Source organism: Homo sapiens, chromosome 19, assembly GCF_000001405.40.
Source record: "Homo sapiens chromosome 19, GRCh38.p14 Primary Assembly".
Taxonomy (NCBI): domain Eukaryota; kingdom Metazoa; phylum Chordata; class Mammalia; order Primates; family Hominidae; genus Homo; species Homo sapiens.
The window spans coordinates 43959074-43982548 of NC_000019.10; the positions used below are offsets into that span (position 1 = coordinate 43959074).

The window sequence follows — 23475 nt, forward strand, 5'->3', positions numbered from 1 at the left end:
GTTTCATAGTGAACTGTGGGTCCTACATAAACCCAAATATGCTCTTCAATGCAACATTTAAAACCAAAGATGCTGCTACTTAGTTTCTCTCACAATCCAGTTGAGTAAAGATTCCTTAAGAAGCTACAAAATAAACAATTCCTTCACACTGTACACTGTAGTTTCAGTTTCTTGGTTTTACCCTTCCCATACACTGATTGCCTTTTGGTAACCACAGGTCTTAGAGGTACTTACTGTTGTCCTGGTATATTTTTTCCCTTAGGGACAGCTTTGAGGCAAGTGGCTAAAGCTTAGATTCACTAAAATTCGAACTTGGTCAAGCATCAGAGTCCAACCCAGTCCTTTTAATTACATTTGATATAGTTTGGATGTTTGGTCCCTCCATATCTCCAGTGTTGGAGGTGGGGCCTAGTGGGAGGTGTTGGATCCTGGGGGTGGGTCCGTCATAAATGGCTTAGTGCTATCCCCTTGGTGATTAGTGAGTTCCTGCTCAGTTAGTTCATGTGAGATCTGGTTGTTTAAAAGAATTTGGGTCCTCCAATTTCTCTCTCTTGTTCCTGCTCTCACTTTGTGACATGCCTGCTCCTACTTCACCTTCTCCCATGAGTGAAAGCTCCCTGAGGCCTCACCAGAAGCTGAGCACATGCCAGCACCACATTTCCTTTACAGTCTGAATAAATGTAAGCCAGTGAAACCTCTTTTCTTTATAAATTACCCAGCCTCAGGTATTTTGTTACAGTGACACAGAAATGAACTAATACAGAAAATTGGTACTGAGGTGCAATGCATTGCTATAAAGATGCCTGAAAATGTGAAAGTGGCTCTGGAACTGGCTAATGGGCAGAGGTTGGAAAAAGTTTGGAGGGCTCAGAAGAAGATAAGAAGATGAGGGAAAACTTGGAACTTTTTTTTTTTTAACTTTTTCACTGAGCCATGGGAACTTCTTACAGACTGATTAAATAGCTGTGACCAAAATGCTGGTGGGAATATGGACAATGAAGTCCAGGCTGATGAGATCTCAGATGGAAATGAGGAAGTTATTGGGAACTGGAGTAAAGGTCACCCATGTTATGTCCTAGCAAAGAACTTTGCTGCTTTGTGTTCATGCCCTAGGGATTTCTGGAAGCTTGAACTTAAGAGTGATAACTTAGGGTACCTGGCAAAAGAAATTTCTGAGCAGCAAAGCATTCAAGAAGTGGCCTGGCTGCCTCACTGCTTCAAACAGCCTACAATTATATATGGGAGCAAAAAAATGACTTAAAGTTGGAATTTATATTTAAAAGGTAAGCAGAGTATAAAAGTTTGGAAAATTTGCAGCCTGGCCATTTAGTAGAGAAAGAAAAAGCATTTTTAGGAGAGGAATACATGTCGGCTGTGGAGCAACCACTCGCAAAAGAGATTTGCATGACTAACAGAAAGCCAAGTGGTAATATCTGAGACAATGGGAAAAAGACCTGGAAGACATTTCAGAAGTCTTCAGGAAAGTCCCTCCCATCACAGGCCTAGGGGCCTAGGAGAAAAGAATGGTTCCAAGGGCCAGGCCCAGGGACCCCCTGCCCTGAGCAGCCTCAAGACATTGTGCCCTGAATCCGGCCACTCTGGCTCCAGCCTCAGCTTAGAGTGCCCCAGGCGCAGGCTGGGTTGCAGCTCCAGAGGGTTCAAGCCTTGATAGTTGTGGTAGTTTCCACATTGTGTTAAGGCTGCAGATGCTCAGAATGCAAGCATGAAGGAGGCTTGGCAGCTTCTACCTAGATTTCAAAGGATGTATGAGAAAGCCTGGGATCCCAGTCAGAAGCCTGCCACAGTGGGGGAGCCCCAACAGAGAACCTCTACCAGGGCAGTGCCAAGGAGAAATGTGAGGGCTCCCCACAGAGTCCCCACTAGGGCACTACCTAATGGATCTGTGGTAAGGGGACCACTGCCCTCTGAGAAGTGGTCCTGAGACCACTGCTCAGTCATATCACTTGGCTGCCCAAGGCCTTGGGAGTCTATCTCTTATACCAGGATGTGGGACATGGAGTCAAGGATTATGTTGGAGCTTTAAGAGCCCTGGCTGGAGTACAGTAGCACAATCCTAACTTGCTGCAGCCTTTAACTCCTAGACTCAAGCTATCCTCCTGCCTCAGCCTCCCAAGTAGCTGGGATTACAGGCTCAAGCCACAGCACCTGCCTCTTCATATGCTCTTTACCCAAATTTTCCAATTATTTACATTTTGTATTTTGCTTTGTTAACACCCATCAGCCAAATACCACTGGGAACAAACTTATAATGAGAAACAACTTATTGTAGCTTTCTGCATCAAGGAACCCCACATAGCAAGGTGATCATGGAGTGTCTTGGTAAGAGGCATTTAGGAAGGGCTGGCTATAGAGTTTCATATAAGATGCTAGGTAGTATTAGATATAATATTAAGTAATATCACTATTAAATACTAGATATCAATTAAAAGACTATTAATATTAGTTAATTCTGTTACCTATTAGATATGGCTAGACACCATCATCTTTTCTATCCAAACTCCCATATTTAAATTTGTTGTGCTTTTTAAAGTTCTTGTAACTGTTTTCCCCCATCCCCCAGTCCAAAGTCCAATTTTATGTACTGCTTTTAGGTGTCACATTTCTGTAGTCTTCTTTAATCTAGAAAGATTCAACAGGCTTTGTCTTTTTATTCTTGACATCCTTGAAGTATATAGGCAAAGTATTTTATAGAAAGATAGTCATTTGGGATTTATGTATTTCATGTTTAGGTTCAGATTATGCATTGTTGGTGTGGATACCACAGAAGTGTTGAAGTGTCATAACAGGGGCCAAATGATGTCTGTTTTTCCCTTCATTGGAGATCTCAACTTTGTTCACTTGGCCAAGATGATATCTTTCAGATTTTTCCACTGAAAGGTTACTTTTTAATTAAATTTTGAAAATAAAAACGTTTCTTACGGGAGATACATTATTAGTGGGCATTATCCTGTAAAGATTAGCTTCCACTTCTCCCTGATTTATTAATCAGTTTCTTCAACTATAAATATTCTATCAATATGGACCCACAATCCAGTTAAATAACATGTAGATTAACTGTTATTATTTCCAACTTTATTGAGGTGTATTTTACATGTCATAGAATTTACCCATTTCAGTCGTACGATTTAATAATCTTCAGGAACTTTGAACAGTGGTGTGACCGTCATCATAATTCAGTTTAGATCATTTTCGCCCCCCAATTGGACTCCTTGTGCTTATGTACAGTTAAACCTCATTCTCACCTCAAATCTGGAGCAACCACTAACCTACTTTCTCTATATATACATTTGCTTATTCTGGATATTTTATAAAATTGAATTTTACAATCCATGGGGTTTTTAGACTGGCTTCTTTAACTTAGCATAATGTTTCCAAGGTTCATACATGTTGTAGCATGAGCCAGTTCTTCACTCCTTTGAATTTCCAAATAAAATTCTGTTGTATGGATATGCCATGATTTGTCTATTCATTTACCCGTAGGAGGGCATTTTGCTTGTTTGCAGTTTGGGGTTATGAGTAATGCTGCTATGAACATTCATGTGCTAATTGAAAATACTTGTCTATGTTGGTGGTCGGCATTCCTAGTTACCATTTCCTGTCTGTTTTTCTGCCTTTCCTGGCACTTTCCAGGCATGATTTCACCTTCACTTGAACTGCTTCATTCAGGACTCTGCAAATTCCCTGAAGTAGAAGGAAAAATGACCACATTCAAAGTGAGTAGGGCTTGCCTCTCTTGCTGTTAAAATTCCATCTTACTACTCATATTGTCACATTTTTATCTGTCTTGGGAAGACTCAAGGAGAACAACAAGCATTTGAGGGCATTTTGTTTGCCAGATGCTTCCTTTGCTGCTTTTGAATTGACTTTCCGTTTGGTTTTAGTTCTTGTTTTCTTACATAATTTCTTTTCTGTAGTAGATAAAATAGTAGGAATGGATAATTCTTTCACTTCACTACTTCTCTGCTCACAAATTAGCTGTTTTTATCTTGTATTCTTCATCATGTACATTCATAACTGTATTTTTATTGATGACATACCTCTAATTTTAAATTGTGCTCGTTTTATATAATATTATATAATGTTCCATTTTTATATTGGTATCATAGTCCCAATGAATTAATGTACCTTCTTATTTTTAACTACTTCACACTCATAGACATTTAGGTGGTTTAGGAATTTTACTGTTTTAAGCAACACTGCTGTGACAGCTTTCCTATATATAACCCCTTCCCCCCAAAATTAATTCTGAAAACAAGATAGGATACTTTTGACATGTATTACATTGGCTGTTTTATAGATGGTAGATTATTTCAACAGGGCACAGCACATGAGGCTCTGACTGCTACTTCCCACAAATATTGTTGTTGGAGTTTTCACACAGGAAGAGCTAGATTCTGTGTTTGCCATGCCTTACTCATACCTTGTATGCATGTTATTTATTGGTCTCTTCTTATTCCTTTATGGAGTAAGCAGTTTTACCAAAGTAGTAGGTACCTTCATTTGAAATGTCCAGTGATACTGGAAGATTGGCCAATCACTTGTGTTGTGTTACTATATTTACTCAGAGAAGCAGAATGCAGGTTTTAGTCTCATCTTCCTCTTAAACTCATAAAATATGAGAAATCTGCTCAGATTCACATAGGCAACCAAGGTCAGGAATGTTAGCCATTCTGCTCATTTATAATCAAATAAGTGAGAATGATATTAATACAATGAATTCTTCTTCCTAATCATATTACCGAAACCATGGGAATATTTACAACCTGCTCTTAACCATCATAAGGAGAATAAGGGTACTTGTGTTCACTCGGAAGAGTGGGAAGTAGGTAAAAAATTTGGAAGAAAGTATGAAATTATGTAATCACAATTTTAAATGTGTTTATTGACATTCTCATTTTCATTTGACATTATTTTAAATAATCAGGAGAATAAAGTCTATATAAAATTATTTTCTTTACAGGATTGATAATAAAAAATATTTAATATGAAGTATTCATTATTTAAATAAAAAGAGATCATTTTTGCCCTGGAATACTTTGCAGATATGAAATGAGATGAAATAAATAACAATAATGACAGTTATAATAAAAATAGATAATATTTATTAAATACTTAGTCTTTGCCACACAGTTTTCCCAATGCTATATATATTTCCTTCTTTAATCCTTGAAAAAACGATACCAGGTGAAAATCATTATACAGACAGGAAACTAATGCATGTAGGTGAGCTTGTCCAAAGCCACACATCTAGGAAGGGACAAAGCTTTGGGATGTGCTCTGAGGCATGATGGTTCCATATCATGACATTGAATGATGCAACTAATGTATGTAGTTTGTGCCTTGAGCATATAGAGGATGCAATGCATAGCTGTCCCACACAGGTCACCATATACTGGTTAGTTTGACAGATACTAAAGAAAAGTTAACAACATCCACAGTTTGAGTATGAAAGGAAGACAATGGAAGAGAGGAAGACAATGGAAATTATCAAAGTTGGGACTAAACTTCTAAATGTTACTGGGGCAATTGGCAACAACACACTAAAACCTAAATACCTGTAGCCCAGGAGGCAGCATGTAGAGTCCTAGAGGGCTACTTACAAGTAGACTCAATGACTGCACAAAGTAAAAGTACAGGACTTCTTTTATATCATTGCACTTCTGATGAAGCTCATGAAAATCTGCGTGTGTCATTGTCAGGATATAGGCAGAATGAGTGGGAAATCTGTATGTTGACCTACATCCCTCAAGATCTAGGACAACTTACCACACCTGTCCCCTTTGCCTACTTAGTGCCACCCTTCTTTGAATAATCATTGGTCATAAGATTTAGGTTTTGTATGTTGGATATTTTAGGAGGCAGTGACATTCAAGGATGTGGCTGTGGTCTTCACTGAGGAGGAGCTGGGGCTGCTGGACCCTGCCCAGAGGAAGCTGTACCGAGATGTGATGCTAGAGAACTTCAGGAACCTGCTCTCAGTAGGTGAGGACAGGCACCCTCTGTAACAGAATGTTAGGCCCCAGGAATGGCTTTGTATTCCAAGTTTGAGTATGCATTGGGAACCTAAATTTCCAGTAAATTTTCCCTAGATATTACCTACAATGGGTTGGAATTAAGCATGTCACTGTGTGTTCACAGGGAATCAACCATTCCACCAAGATACTTTCCACTTCTTAGGGAAGGAAAAGTTTTGGAAGATGAAGACAACAAGCCAAAGAGAAGGGAATTCAGGTAAGAACCAAGTAACTGTGCATCCTTGTACATGACTCTTCCATCTGTTTTACTTCTGTCCATGCCTATTTCCATCACCCTGGTCTAAATTGCCAAACTTCTTTCATAACTTATTGCAACTGCCTTCCTTCTTTAAAGTTCCTTTGGCTTCATTATTCATGTTCATATTTTATTAGTTTAATAATTTATCATACAAGATTTTAGACTAGGAAATTTACCAGAATTAGTAACGGGTTAAGTGTATGTATGTTATTAATTATTTAATTCAGTCTTTTATTTCTACCAGGATTTTACATATGAGATGTGATGTGGTTCTAAATTGTTCTCTTGAAAACCAAAGACCATAGTGCACTCGGAAAACATGAACTTAATGTTTCCTGTTTTCATTAAAGTTTAATGCCATGTCCTAAGTGTGAAATCTTGAAAACATTGAATAGGGCTTCACTTGCCCACATATATTAATTCTGTGTCTTTTTAGGAGGCAAGATCCAAATTGAGATGGAGACTGTTCCAGAAGCAGGACCACATGAAGAGTGGTCCTGTCAGCAAATATGGGAACAAATTGCAAGTGACCTAACCAGGTCTCAAAACTCCATAAGGAACAGCTCTCAGTTCTTCAAAGAAGGTGATGTCCCCTGCCAGATTGAGGCAAGACTATCTATAAGTCACGTGCAACAGAAACCTTACCGTTGTAATGAATGTAAACAGTCCTTCAGTGATGTTTCTGTCTTTGATCTTCATCAACAATCACACTCAGGAGAGAAATCTCATACATGTGGTGAGTGTGGAAAAAGCTTCTGTTACAGCCCAGCCCTTCATATTCATCAGAGAGTCCATATGGGAGAAAAATGCTATAAGTGTGATGTGTGTGGTAAGGAATTTAATCAGAGCTCACATCTGCAAACTCATCAGAGAGTCCATACTGGAGAGAAACCATTCAAATGTGGGCAATGTGGGAAAGGCTTCCATAGTAGATCAGCACTTAATGTTCATTGCAAATTGCACACAGGAGAGAAACCTTATAATTGTGAGGAATGTGGGAAAGCCTTCATTCATGATTCACAGCTTCAAGAACATCAGAGAATCCATACTGGGGAGAAGCCATTCAAATGTGATATATGTGGTAAGAGCTTCCGTGTTAGATCAAGACTTAATAGGCATTCCATGGTTCACACAGGAGAAAAACCATTCAGATGTGATACATGTGGCAAGAACTTTCGTCAGAGATCAGCACTTAATAGTCATTCCATGGTCCACATAGAAGAGAAGCCATACAAATGTGAGCAATGTGGAAAAGGCTTCATTTGTAGGCGAGATTTTTGTAAGCATCAGATGGTCCACACAGGAGAGAAACCATATAATTGTAAAGAATGTGGGAAGACCTTCAGATGGTCCTCATGTCTTTTGAACCATCAGCAAGTCCACAGTGGACAAAAATCCTTCAAATGTGAAGAATGTGGGAAGGGATTTTATACAAATTCACGACGATCTTCCCATCAGAGATCCCACAATGGAGAAAAGCCATATAACTGTGAGGAGTGTGGTAAGGACTATAAAAGGAGGTTGGATCTTGAGTTTCACCAGAGGGTCCACACGGGTGAGAGACCCTATAATTGTAAGGAATGTGGCAAGAGCTTTGGCTGGGCCTCCTGTCTTTTGAAACATCAGAGACTCCACAGTGGGGAAAAACCTTTCAAATGTGAAGAGTGTGGAAAGAGATTTACTCAGAGTTCACAACTTCATTCCCATCAGACATGCCATACTGGAGAAAAGCTATACAAATGTGAGCAGTGTGAGAAGGGGTACAACAGTAAATTTAATCTTGACATGCACCAGAGGGTCCACGGGGGAGAGCGACCCTATAATTGTAAGGAATGTGGAAAGAGCTTTGGCTGGGCTTCATGTCTTTTGAAACATCAGAGACTCCACAGTGGAGAAAAGCCATTGAAATCTGGAGTGTGGGAAGAGATCTACTCAGAATTCACAGCTTCATTTACATCAGTAAGTCTATGTGGGAGAAAAGCCATATAAATGTGAGAAGTGTGGGAAGGGCTTTGGCTGGGCCTCAACTCATCTGACCCATCAATTCTCCACAGCAGAGAAAAACCATTCAAATATGAGAACTGTGGGAAGAGCTTTGTACATAGATCATATCTTTTTTTTTTTTTTTTGAGACAGAGTCTCACTCTTTCACCCAGGCCTGACTGCAGTGGCGCTATCTCAGCTCACTGCAAGCTCCGCCTCCCAGGTTCACGCCATTCTCCTGCCTCAGCCTCCCGAGTAGCTGGGACTACAGGTGCCCGCCACCACACCCAGCTAATTTTTTGTATTTTTAGTAGAGACGGGGTTTCACCGTGTTAGCCAGGATGGTCTCGATCTCCTGACCTCGTGATCCGCCCGCCTTGGCCTCCCAAAGTGCTGGGATTACAGGCGTGAGCCACTGCGCCCGGCCATAGATCACATCTTAAAGACCAAGAAAAGAGTCCACAGTGGAGATAATCCATACAAATGTGAGGAGCATGGGATGTACTACAACAGGCACTTGACTTGATATGCATCAGAGGGTCCATATGGCAGAGAAACCGTGGAAGTTTGGGGAGATTGCCATGTGCTTCAGTTATGCCTCAAAGTCTTCAACTTCATTGGACTGTTCACTTTCAAGGGAAACCTTAGTAAGGTGATATCTGTGATAGTCTTCTCAACTACAAGCTCATCTGAGAGTTCACAATGGGAGAAGCATTAAAAATTTGATACATGTGGTAAGCACTTCAGTTTGAGTTCATATCTCATAGCTTATTACAGAATCCATGCTGATGATACATTTCATACAGTCTCAGGAGGGAAAATATTTAAGTTAAAGTCAGAGTTTCAGCCATAGTTCAGCATACCCACGTGGTTTTAGAACCACTGTAGCACAGAACCTTTGTAATTTGGGGCTTCATTCAGAAGTTTGGCAATTATAGTTATTCAAGAGACAGGCCTTAGAAAGAATAGGAGTTTGTTCAGGCATTTACAAATCTCTAATGATGGACATGTCAAAATTGATGTCGGCTAGAATATAAGCTGCATTTACCTTTGCTGCAGAATCTTCACAACCTTAACACTGATTGGCACTTTGTATGTGTGTTTGGTACATGTAAGAGATGTAGAAAGAGCTTTGGCTGGGCTTCATATCTTTTGAAATATCAGAGATGTGATATTAAAGGATCAAAAGGAGAAAACATATTTCAAAATTGTATCTAAAAGAGGAAACCTGGGATAGACCAAGATGGCCAATTAGAAGCAGCTATGGTTCATGGTACTCATACAGAGGAATGAAAATGACAGATAAATTCAGCACCTTCAATTGAAATATCTAGGTTCTCTCATTGGGACTGACTAGGCAATCAATTCAACCCACAGAAAATGAAGAAAAGTAGGGTGGAGTTATGGCCCACTTGGTGTGGCATGGAGCCAAAGGAAACCTCACCCCCACCCAAGGGAAGCAGTGAGTGATTGTGCGACCCTGCGCAGGAAACCATGCTACTCAAGGATCTTTGCAACCCACGGGTCAGGAGATCTCCTTGTGAGCCCATGCCACCAGGGCCTTGGGTTTGATACACAGAGCTGTGTGGAGTTTTGGCAGAGCGGCCTCTCAGGCACACACAGAGACCCAGGAGGTTTACATGCTCTAGCCCCAGAATTCCTGGCAAGGTGGCAGATTCATCCTTATATTCCCCTAGGAAGGGGGCTGAATCCAGGGAGCCAGGCAGCAACATTCTGTGGGCCCCACTTCCATGGCACCTTACAAAACCCACTGGCTTGGAATTTCAACCAACCAACAGCAACAGGCTTCAGCCTGAAATAGGAGGGAGCTCCTGTGGGGGAAGGCTGGCCACCATTTCTGTGGTTCAGTCTACTCAGCATTCCAGCCTGCCAGCTCTGGAGAGACCAGGTTGTCTGGACAAGGAGAGGATCCCCCTGCCCAACACAGAACACCTGCTTTGCCAGATCATGCCCAGACTGCTGCTTTTTTTTTTTTTTTTTTTTTTTTTTTTTTTTGAGATGGAGTCTCACTCTGTTGCTCAGACTGGAGTGCAGTGGCATGCTCTTGGTTCATGGCAACCTCCACCTCTTGGGTTCAAGCAATTCTCCTGCCTCAGCCTCCCAAGTAGCTGGGATTACAGGCAGGTACCACCACACCTGGCTAATTTTTGTATTTTTCATAGAGACAGGGTTTCACCGTGTTGGCCAGGCTGGTCTTGAACTCCTGACCGCAGGTGATCCGCCTGCCTCAGCCTTCCAAAGTGCTGGGATTACAGGCATGAGCCACTGCACCTGGCCCAGACTGCTTCTTTAAGCAGGACCCTGATCCATTCCTCCCCACTGTGTGGGGTCTCCCTGTGGGGGGTCTTCAGTCACTCCAGCCAGGCTTATACTGACAGAAATCTAATCTCTACCTCAGATGGAGCTCCCAGGGGAGTGGCGACCACTGTCTCTATGGTTCGGTTGACAAAGCTGTTCCAGCCTGCTGGCTTTGGAGAGTCTGGGCAATCTGGGTGAGGAAGGGTCCTCCCCCACCGCAGCACACCTGCTGTACCAAAAGCAGTTGGACTGCTTCTGTAAGTAGGTCCCTGATCCTGTTCCTCCTGACTCAGTGAGACCTCCCAACAGGAGTCTCTAGACACCTCCTACAGGAGTCTTCAGGCCAGAAACTGGTCAGTATCCCCCTGGGACAGAGTTTCCAAAAGAAGGAGAAGGCTGCCATCTTTGCTGTTTTGCAGCTTTCACTGGTGACACCTCCAGGTACGGGAAAAACGGAGGCAACTAGGGTCTCGAGCAGACCCCAGCAAACTGTGGCAGCCCTACAGTTGCTAACAGTCAGTGGCTTGACTGTTAAAAACAGGCAGAAAACAACAAGAACATCAACAAAAAGACCCCACAAAAACCCCATTCAAGGGTCAGCAACCTCAAGATTGAAGGTAGGTAAGCCCACAGATATGATAAAAAGTCAACACAAAAAAATGCTGAAAACTCAAAAAGCCAGAGCGCCTCTTCTCCAAATGACTACAGCACCTCTCTAGCAAGGGTACAGAACTGGGCTGAGGCTGAGATGGCTGAACTGACAGAAGTAGGCCTCAGAAAGTGGGTAATGAACTTTGCTGAGCTAAAGGAGCATGGCATAACCCAATGCAAAGAAGCTAAGAATCATGATAAAACAATACAGGAGCTGATGACCAGAATAGCCAGTTTAGAGAGGAACATAACTGACTTGATGGAGCTGAAAAACACAACACAAGAACTTAACAATGCAATCACAAGTATCAATTGTAGAATAGACCAAGAGGAGGAAAGAGACTCAGAGCTTGAAGACTATCTTTCTGAAATAAGACAGGCAGAGAAGAATAGAGAAAGAATGAAGAGTAATGAACAAAACCTCTGAAAAAAAATATGGAGTTATGTAAAAAGACTGAACCTATGACTGATTGCGGAACCTGAAACAGATGGGGAGAATGGAAACAAGTTGGAAACATACTTTAGGATGTTATCCAGGATAACTTTCCAAACCTAGCATGACAGGCTAATATTCAAATTCAGGAAATGCAGAGAACCCCGGTAAGATACTCCATGAGAAGATCAACCCCAAGACACATAATCATCAGATTCTCCAAGGTCAAAATTAAAAAATGTAAAGGGCAGTCAGAGAGAATGAAAGGTCAGGTCCCCTACAAAGGGAAGCCCATCAGACTAATAGCAGACATCTCAGTGGAAACCCTACAAGCCAGAAGATATTGGGGGTCAATATTCAGCATTCTTAAAGAATTCTTTGCCAGAATTTAGTATCTGGCCAAAGTAAGCTTTATGTGCAAAGAAATAAGATCCTTTTCAGACAAGCAAATGCTGAGAGAATTCATCACCACCAGGCCTTCCTTGCAAGAGTTCCTGAAGGAAGCACTAAATATGGAAAGAAAAAACCATTACCAGCCACTACAAAAACACACTGAAGTACATAGACCAATGACACTATAAAGCAACCACATAAACAAGTCTGCAAAATAACCAGCTAGCATCATGATGGCAGGATCAAATTCACACATAACAATACTAATATCAAATGTAAATAGGCTAAATGCCCCAATTGAAAGACAGAGAAGTGCAAGCTGGATAAAGAGCCAAGACCGATTGATACGCCGTGTTTAAGAGACCCATCACACGTGCAAAGACACACATAGGCTCAAAATAAAGGGATGGAGGAAAATCTACCAAGAAAATGGAAATCAGAAAAAAGCAGGAGTCACAATCCTAGTTTTTGACAAAACAGACTTTAAACCAACAAAGATAAAAAAAAAAAAAAAGACAAAGCAAGGCATTACATAACAGCAAAGGGTTCAACAAGAAGAGCTAACTATTCTAAACATATATACGCACCCAATAGCAGAGGACCCAGATTCATAAAGTAAGTTCTTAGAGACCTACAAAGAGACTTAGACTCCCACACAGTAATAGTGGGAGACTTTAACACTCCATTGACAATATTAGATCATTGAGATAAAAAATTAACAAAGATGTTGAGGACCTTAACTCAGCTCTGGATTAAGCAGACCTGATAGATATCTGCAGAACTCTCCACTCCAAAACAACAGAATATACATTTTTCTCATCATCACATGGCTCTTAAAAATTGATCACATAATCGGAAGTAAACACTCCTCAGCAAATGCAAAAGAACTGAAATCATAACAGTCTCTCAGACCATAGCACAATCAAATTGAACTCAAGATTAAGAAATTCACCCAAAAAATTAAAACAAAAATGAAATTAACTCAGAACCACACAACTATGTGGAAATTGAATAACCTGCTTGTGAATGACTCCTGGGTAAATACTGAAATTAAGGCATAGATCAAGAAATTATTTGAAACTAATAAGAATAAAGACACAATGTACCAGAATCTCTGGGATGCAGCTAAAGAAGTGTTAAGACAGAAATTAATAGCACTAAATGCCCACATCAAAAAGCTAGAAAGATCTCAAGTTAACAACATCACAACTAAAATAGAGAACCAAAAACAAACCCCAAAGCTAGCAGAATACAGGAAATAAGATCAGAGCAGAACTCAAGGAGACAGAGACACAAAAAATCTTTCAAAAATTAACAAATCCAGGAGCTGGTTTTTTGAAAAAAATTAATAGACTGCTAACTAGACTAATAAAGAAGAAAAGAGAGAAGAATCCAACACAATCAGAAATGATAAAGGGGATATCACCACTGACCCCACAGAAATACAAGCAACCATCAGAGAATATTATAAACACCTCTCTGCACATAAACTAGAAAATCTAGAAAAAGAGAATAAATTTCTGGAAACATACACCCTCCTAAGGCTGAACCTGGAAGAAATTGAATCCTTGAATAGACCAATAACGACTTCTGAAATTGAGGCAGTAATAGTCTACCAAAAAAAAAAAAAAAAAGCCCAGGACCAGACAAATTTACAGCTGAATTCTACCAGAGGTACAAAAAAGAGCTGGTACCATTTCTACTGAAACTATTCCAAACAATTGAAAAGAAGGGATTCCTCCTTAACTCTTTTTATGAGGCCAGCATCATCCTGATACCAAAATCTGGCAGAGATAAAACGAAAAAAGAAAACTTCAGGCCAGTATCCCTGATGACTATCAATGCAAAAATCCTCAACAAAATACTGGCAAACTGAATCCAGCAGCACATCAAAAAGCTTATCTACCACAATCAAGTTGGCTTCATCCCCAGGATGCAACGTTGGTTCAACATATGCAAATCAATAAATGTGATCACATAATGAGAACCAAAGACAAAAATCACATGATTCTCTCAATAGATGCAGAAAAGGCCTTTGATAAAATTCAACATCCCTTCATGCTAAAAGCTCTCTGTAAACTAGGTACTGAAGGAACATACCTCAAAATAATAAGAGCCATAGATTTCAAACCCACAGCCAATATCATACTGAGTGGGCAAAAGTTGTAATCATTCCCCTTGAAAACTGGCACAAGACAAGGACCAGCCCCCCGCCCTTTCCCCACTCCTGTTCAACACAGTATTGGAAGTTCTGGCCAGTCAAGTCAGACAAGTGAAAGAAATAAAGCATATTCAAATAGAGAGGAAGTCACAGTATCTTTGTTTGCAGATGACATGATCCTATATCTAGAAAACCCCATCATCTCAGCCCAAAAGCTTTTTAAGCTGATAAGCAACTTCAGCAATGTCTCAGGATACAAAATCAATGTGCAAAACCGCTAGCATTCCTATAAACCAACGACAGGCAAGCAGAGAGCCGAATCATGAATGAACTCCCATTCACAATTGCTACAGAAAGAATAAGTTATCTAGGAATACAGCTAACAAGGGAAGCGAAGGACCCCTTCAAGGAGAACTACAAACCACTGCTCAAAGAAATCAGAGAGGACACAAATGGAAAAACATTTCATGCTCATGGATAGGAAGAATCAATATTGTGAAATGGCCATACTGCCCAAAGTAATTTATAGATTCAATGCTATTCCCATTAAACTACCGTTGACATTCTTCACAGAATTAGAAAAAAAAACCTATTTTAAAATTCATTTGGAACCAAAGAATAGCCCAAATAGCCAAGACAATTCTAAGCAAAAAAGAACAAAGCTGGAGGCATTATGCAACCCAACTTCAAACTATACTCCAAGGCTACAGTAACGAAAACAGCATAGTACTGGAACAAAAACAGACACATAGACAAATGGAACAGAATAGAGAACTCAGAAATAAGACCACACACCTACAACCATCTGATATTCAACAAACCTGACAAAAACAAGCAGTGGGGAAATGATTCCCTATATAATAAACGGTGCTGGGAGAACTGGCTAGCCATGCACAGAAAATTGAAACTGGACCCCTTCCTTACAAACATTATACAAAAATTAAGATGGATTAAAAACTTATGAAACCCAAAACTATAAAAACCCCAGAAGAAAATCTAGGTGATACCATCCAGGACATAGGGACAGGCAAAGATTTCACGATGAAAACACCAAAAGCAATTGCAACAAAAGCAAAATTTGACAAATGGGATCTAATTAAACTAAAGAGCTTCTGCACACCAAAAGAAACTATTATCAGGGTGAACAGACAACCTACAGAATGGGAGAAAATCTTTGCAATCTGTCCATCTGACAAAGGTCTAATATCCAGAGCCTACAAGGAACTTAAACAAATTTACGAGAAAAAAAACCATTAAAAAGTGGGCAAAAGACATCAACAGGCACTTCTCAAAAGAAGACGTACATGCAGCTGACAAACATGAAAAAAAAGCTCAACATCACTATCATTAGATAAATGCAAATCAAAACCACAATGAGATACTGTCTCACATCAGTCACAATGGCAATTATAAAAAAGTAAAAAAGAAGCCATTTGCAGCAGCTCAAAGTGCTGTAATCCCAAACCTTTGGGAGGCTGAGGTGGGTGGATCACTTGAGGTCAGGAGTTGGAGACCAGCCCGGCCAACATGGCGAAACGAACCCCTGTCTCTACTAAAAATACAAAAAATTAGCTGGATGTGGTGGTGCATGCCTATAATCCCCAGCTACTTGGGAGGCTGAGGCATGAGAATTGGTTGAACCGGAGGCAGAGGTTGCAGTGAGTCAAGGTCATGCCACTGCACTTCAGCCTGGGCAACAGTGAAACTGTGTCTCAAAAAAAAAAAAAGTCAAAAAGCAACAGTTGTTGGTGAAGTTGGGGAGAAAAAGGAATGCTTTTACATTGTTAGTGGGAGTATAAATTAGTTGAACCATTGTGGAAGACAGTGTGGCAATTCCTCAAAGATTTAGAGGCAGAAATACCATTTCACCTAGCAATCCCATTACTGTAATATATACCCCCAAATTATAAATCATTCTATTAGAAAGATACATGCACTTGTATGCTCACTGCAGCACTATTCAAAATAACAAAGACATGGACTCAGCCCAAATGCCCATCAATGATAGACTGGATAAAGAAAATGTCATACATATAGACCATGGAATACTATGCAAACATAAAAAGAAATTAGATCATCCAGGACATGGATGGAGCTAGAAGCCGTTATCCTCAGCAAACTAACACAGGAACAGAAAACCAAACACTGCATGTTCTCACTTATAAGTGGGAGCTGAATGATGAGAACATATGGACACATGGTGGGAAACAACACACACTGGGGCCTCTTGGAGGGGTGGAGGGAGGGAGAGCATCAGGCAGAATAGCTAATGGATGCTGTGCTTAATACCTAGGTGATAGATTGATCTGTGCAGCAAACCACCATGGCTCACATTTACCTATGTAACAAACCTGCACATCCTGCACATGTACCCCTGAACTTAAAATAAAAGTTGAAGAAAAAACTAAATCATAGTATTAAAAAGGAGAAATCTTGCAAGAAATAATTTATGGAAACATGAGTTGAAATGCAGGGTACACTCAGCACTGCAATGTAGACCTTTATTTTGATTATTATCTTATTCCACTTGGCTCCTGGCTTCTCCTCATCCTCTGTTCTCAAGTCGGATTCTTATTATTTGGGACTCTGTCTAGTGTTCCCTTGATTGTATATAGTATAAATTTAACAATCATTTGTCACTTTTCTCACAATATGAGGTGAAAAGATTTTGTAATAACAGACCACTGCATATTGTACAATTAAGTTTTTTCAACAATTTTAAGGCAGGATTCACAGTAAACACTTTTTTCTTTTAAAAAATTATTTTTAAGGAATAGAGACAGTCTCACCATGTTGCTTGGCTGGCCTTGAACTTCTAGGCTCAGGCAATCCTCCTACCTCAGCCTCCCAAAGTGCTTGAATTATAGGCATGAGCCACCACACCCAGCCCACAGTAACATTTCTAATGTGGCAGATGTAGTTACATTGACAAAAATTTTTCTGGTAAAGGCCAGGTGTGGTGGCTCACTCCTGTAATCCCAGCACTTTGGGAGGCTGAGGCAGGTGGATCACTTGAGGCCATGGGTTCGAGATCAGCCTGGTCAACATGGCAAAACCCCGTCTCTACTAAAAATACAAAAATTAGCTGGTGTGGTGGTGTGTGCCTGTAATCCCAGCTACCTGAGAGGCTGAGGCATGAGAATCGCTTGAGCCTGGGAGGCGGAGGTTGCAGTGAGCTGAGATTGTGCCACTGTACTCCAGCCTGGGCAACAGAGCGAGACTTCATCTAAAAAAAAATTCCTAATAAGTTTTGAATTGATCATGATTTGTGATTCTGCGTTTCTGTGCAGGCTTTAATATGATTGCCTTCTAATTGCTGTAGTTATTTCTTTTATCAGACTTCTCAGGTAGAAGCTTTGCCAAATTTGAAGGAAAATTTTTGGCAACCTCAGTATTTCTTCCCATCTCTATGAACTACCAAGAACATTTGTTGGAGTTTGGTGATTTCATCATACATATTCATTATTGGAGCAAGAGTAACCTTTACATACTCTTCTTTATTGTTGGCCATAAGAATACGTTTTTTGGAAAGTGGTATATGGCAGTATGTATAAGGTACAACTGTTCAACCTGGAAATCATAGGATAGAAAATTACAACATTAAAACTCTGAAAATTAGTAGATTACATGGATGATGTCACTTAATTTTAAAATGGAAAGAACAAGTGTTCAACCACAGGAATTTGTATGAAGTGCATTTATTAATATAAAAACACAAAGCCAGTAAAATGATGACATAGATGTACAATAAAAAGAGAAGAGCATAATGTATGCCTTAGGGAAATCCTATTGTAGCCTTCATAACAAACTAAGTGTCTTTGTGTTTCTGGGTTTGTTTATTTGGTTATTTTTAGTGTGTATGTACATCATTTGTGGATGAATATTCTGACATTTTCCCTGGCAATGAGTATTTGCTGGAATTTTTCATTTTATAATTTTATGCATTTTAAATTTCTCATTGAACACCAATTTTACCAAAGCAGTTATGTGATGAAAAATTTGAAAAATTATTAATATTAATCACTTACCTATAAGGACTCTGAATAAGATTGCTCTACATTGTCATATGACAGTTCAAAATTAAGGAATAGGGATGTGGAAGTCATATTTCAAAATAAAAAAATGTATCTGGTCACCTGGATATACAGATTGATGAGTGTGGTCAACTGCCTTCATAACTAATGTGTGTGATTCTGCTTTAGGCATAAGTCAGGAAGCAAGCAAATCCTAGTGACAGAAATAATGTGGGTATATATAGTTGTGGAGGTTAAAAAAACAGATTCTTTGAAGAACAAATGCGCATGATCAGGGAACTTAACATGACAGCAGCAGTCTCTTAGTGTGTGGAACCAGCTCGGACAAAGAGCTGATTTGGGTGCTAATTCATAGTTATACACCATGGTGTAACTTAACTGTATTAGGTTAAAAGGCATTCTTCAAAGTGTCTAGTTGAGATAGTAAGCTTTTCATAATTAATTTTCTAAATAATGTATTTTCATGATGCTATATTCATGCTGTGCCAGTTTGGATAGTAGATTGGAGGTCCCTAAGACCACCTCTGGGTTCTGTGATTTACTAAAATAACTGAGACTATAGTTGTACTTATAACAATATTACAGTGACAAGATACAAAACAGAATCTGTAAAGGGAAATGGCTCATGGGCAGTTGTCTAGAGGAAACCAGAAGCAAGCTTACCAGAGTCCTCTCTGCATGGTGTTACATAAGACTCAACTCCTCTAGCATTGAATTGTGATACTACTTGTGAAATGTCTACAATGGAAGCTCATTAGCAACCAGCAGCACAGGTTCTTATTGAGATTGATTATGTAGGTATGTGTCTAGTACATATCAAGATTCCCAACTCTAAGAAGAAGAGCAAGTGTTCCAAATAAGCTGCATTGTAGAGTTTAGGCGCAGTGACCACTCCTACCCATTATGGAAAGGTGGTAACTCTCTCAAACCCCATGTTCCTTGACTCCAGCCAAAGGCCAGTGTTGCAAACAGCTCTTTTTAAAGTTAGCAGTCTGACTTATGCCTGCTATGTTAACTTTTTGTGCATGTGGTATCAGAAAAGTAGGGCCTGCAGTCTTGTGGGGTTTTCTTAAACTATCACCAGATAATAGTTCATCTCTAAGATAATTATTTGTAAAAGAAAATTCATCAGATTACATTTTTAAATATTTTTATAATAAAAAATACCATAGGTAGGCCTTCCATCTACCCTCGTGTGTGTCTGGGTCCTCAAATTGGTCACAGGATGATATTAACAGCTGATTTGTTTTTATTGTTCATATTTATGTCTCACAGACTGCATGAGTATTTGACTCCCAATAAAACTGAATATTGAATACCTAGCTTCATATGTAGTACCTGAGCTTTTGTGTGGCCAGTATTTCTTGCCACTTCTCACGATGGACTGGGTCTCTTTTATGTATATGACCCTGGCAAGTTCACTATGTTAACTTTGAAATTGGGTACATTATTATAATTGGGAATTATTGCAGAGTCTCAATCTCTGTGTTTGAAAAATGAGGGAAGCTTCCCAAGTTATTATTCTCTGACCATATCAGTAGGATATCCATTTAAATGTTTGAGCTAAATGCCACAACATTTGTGTGTGTGTGTTTTTTTTTTTTTTTTTTTTTTTTGATACACTATGACAATAACTTCCTGGATAGATTTGTTGTTGTTTTTAATTTTTATAGTAAAAATACACTCATTTTACTTGCAAGAATAATGTCTAGACATTGGAAACAATTACTTTGGTACAGAAAAGTCTAAAAAAGAAAGTGGAAGATAGGAAGTATGAATATTTTGGTAAGGATGGTTCAGCATATCTATGCATATAGGTAACAATTGTATAGAATTTTACAAAACTAGGAACACACTAAGCATACTTGCTCCTAACAGGATTGTCCTAATATGACACTAATGTTAAAGGCTGTATAAATAAGTTGACCTCCAACCTCATTTCTAATGCCTGCTGTATCCTGGTGTACTGAATATTAATTTTTCCTTAAACAGTTTTCTGATGATGAGGATCTGTGTGGTATCAATTTTAATTACAACATGCCTAGACTACAGTCCCTAGTTATTTAATCAAACAGTAATACATATATATATATATATATATATGGAAGGCATTTTGTAGATATTTAGCCCATAATCAGTTGGCTTTGAGTAGGGATATTATGTGAGATAATGTCAGTGGGCCTGATGAATCACTTGAAATTATTTAAAAGTAGAGCTGAAGCTTCTTTGAAAAAAGAAATTGCACCTTTTAGTAGCATCTTCCTCTCGTGGGTTAGTGTTCCATCTGAGCCATCCTGGGGTATAGCCATATGTTTTTTGCAGTTGCTTAGCCAGTCCCACAGTGGCATAAGAAAGTTCCTTGCAATAAATCATTTGTATATGTCATATTGATTTTGTTACTCCGTTTCAACGCTGACCAAAAGATATTTTGTTCCAGAAGTGGTTCTAGAGGAAGAGAATCTTAAGAATGAGTTTTCTAAATCAATTCTGTGTTTTCTCAAATTGGATTTCTCATCTTTTTTAGTTTAAAGGCACTATTGACTTTATTTCCAGTGGAAAATAGGGCATTGGTTGTTAAAGCCACGACATGGTGATAAATATATGCCAAATATATTGGATAATCCCAAGCATATACCTATAGAAGGCATGATTCTAGATGACCATGAATTTGTTAGTTTCGGACATAATAGTCAAACGAAGGACTATAGTGGTATTTACTAGTTGCTCTGATTTGTGCTTCAGAAAGTGGGAAAGAAAAAGATGAGGACAAGGCATCAAATTCCAGCTCAATCAGAATAACCTGAAAGCGTCAGTCATTATGCATGGCTTCTTAACCTTGTGTTGTTGATCTTGGCATTCATAGTAAATAACTTGACAGGAAATCTATTACACTGTTACTTTATTTGTATAGGCAGGAGGATTCTCTTGCAAGTAAACAGAAATCCAACTGGAATTACCTAACAGAATCACATCTCCCAAATCAATTCTAAGACAAGTCCAGTTTACAAATCCACAATTGCTTCAATAAACGGGAGGTCAGTTCTGTATTAGGATGGACGCTGGTACGTTGCAGAGTGCTTCACAAGGCCCTACAGCCATTAACCCGTGTGACTATGTACTCAAAAGGAGAAATATTCAAACATCTTGGCAACGACTAACTCCTATTATCAAATGGCACGTTTATATTTTGATGATTGGGCCTGGTGAGAAGGAAGCAGGAAGGAATCTAGGCATATTTGTAAGATACATACATACCAGAGGGAAGAAATAAATCTTATAATAATTCATGGGCCTTTCACCTTGGTGAAATTTCCACAAGTTCACTGATGTAGGCCTATTGAGCTATCCCTTCTGGGTGTAGGGCAAGTAGAATATAGCCCTTCCTACGATCAAAAAATAGCGTCACAACGCCTAGTGGACCACTGGGGCTATTGTATGCTACTTATTCCTCATTGAGGCGTGCTACTTTGCCTATTTTGTGTGACCTGAAAACATTTTGACTCATCCAAGATAAGTCTGTGCAATGTGTCCCAGCTGCTATGTAAGTTTCTCTGCCATCAGGACCCTATGACCCAGAAAAGCCAAAAGTGATTAAAATGTTAATGAAAGATAGTGATGGTTGAGCCTTTGGCTGGCCCTAGTTAGTAAATCAGCACTTTACAAGGCTGAGGTGGGAGAATCGCTTGAGCCCAGGACTTCAAGACAAGCCTTGGCAACATAGCAAGACCTTGTTCTAAAAAAAAAAATTGAGGCGAACAGACCAAAAACTCAACATAAAAATGGGTAATAGATTTGAACAATTTACAAAAAGAAAAATAATATTGACACAGGAAATATGCAAAAATGTTCTATGTTATTTAAAAAACAAGAAATATAAATTAAAACTAAATTTAAATACACTTCTTACCATTTGATTGGCAAAACTTTAAAAATGTTGTAATAACACATTTTGTTAGCTAGTTTCAAGGCAAGAGTATATTTATACATTACTTCTGCAAATGGAAATGGTACCAAAAAATTAAGGCAACTTGACAATATGCAACAAAATTTCTATTAATATCTTCACTTTTCAATCCTGCTTTCTGGGATGTACTCTTCTGATGTATCTTCAACAGGGATAATATACAAATGTACAAGTGTATTTATAACAGCATCATTTGTAATAATAAAATATTGGAAGTCACTGAAATGTCCATAAATTGCAGCACTGTTATATAAACCACTCAATGGAATTTATGCAGTTTTAAAAATAAATTACTCCATATGACATGATTTCCAAGATGTTATTATGTGAATATAGAAGAATTAGAAGTGTACTATCCTAACATTTAAGTAAAAAGGAAAAATAAGAAACACATCTATTCTGTTAAAAAAAAGTGGTAATGAAAATAATAAAATTAGTTACATAAAGGTGTTAGGTGGCAACACTGTGGAATTGGTTTAGGGGTAGGAAGGAGGGGAGTGGCACTTCTCTGAGAATAATATGTGGTAGAGCATTGACTCATGGGAACATGTTGATGACTGACATACCCAATAATATAAAATCAAGAATGAGATTTCTTTGTAGATAAACTAGGAAAGTGAAAATCATAGAATAACAAATTAACCTAAATGTATTTCAAATCAATAACATAAACAGTCTAAAGGTGACAGCAAGAAGTAATTTAAGCAACTTATTAAACAGTACAGTGTTTGACTATATATCCTCAGTCTAAAGACAAAAAGAACTATAAAAAATGTTGAACTCTACTTTTGCATTGTTTTTTACAATGATATGAATTAGTAACTCTGACACTGCATGATGCGTATGCAATGGTCTTAATGTTTGTGGCCCACCAAAATCCATATATTGTAATTTTTACCCTCAATGTGATGGTAATAGGAGGTGGGGCCTTTGGAGGGTGATTAGGTCACGGGATGAATACCCTTATAAAAAATGCCAGAAGGAGCTTGTTTGTCACTTCAACCAAATGAAGACACAGCAATATGGTGCTAACTATGAACAAGAAAGTGGCCAACTACCTGACACAAAATCTGCCAGTGCTTTGATCTTGGATCCCAGTTTCCAGATCTGTGAAGAATAGATTTCTGTTGCTTAAAAGCCGGCCGGGCGTGGTCGCTCACGCCTGTAATCCCAGCACTTTGGGAGGCCGAGGTGGGCGGATCACAAGGTCAGATCGAGACCATCCTGGCTAACACGGTGAAAC

General features: G+C 39.2%; 1 protein-coding gene across 5 annotated transcripts in view; it reads left to right on the forward strand.

Annotated features, from left to right (window-relative positions):
• Positions 1-22540, forward strand: part of ZNF221 (zinc finger protein 221) — a 30386-nt gene extending 7846 nt beyond the window's left edge. For 2 of the 5 annotated variants that reach the window (NM_001297589.2, NM_001297588.2), the window contains exons 2-5: positions 3652-3734; positions 5877-6003; positions 6160-6252; positions 6731-8636. In NM_001297589.2, coding sequence (NP_001284518.1) covers positions 3654-3734; positions 5877-6003; positions 6160-6252; positions 6731-8283 — 1854 coding nt within the window. In that variant the 5' untranslated portion in view covers positions 3652-3653 and the 3' untranslated portion in view covers positions 8284-8636. The other 3 variants (XR_007066976.1, NM_013359.3, XM_047439352.1) reach the window with 3 other exon arrangements.
• Positions 22541-23475: the final 935 nt, after the last annotated feature.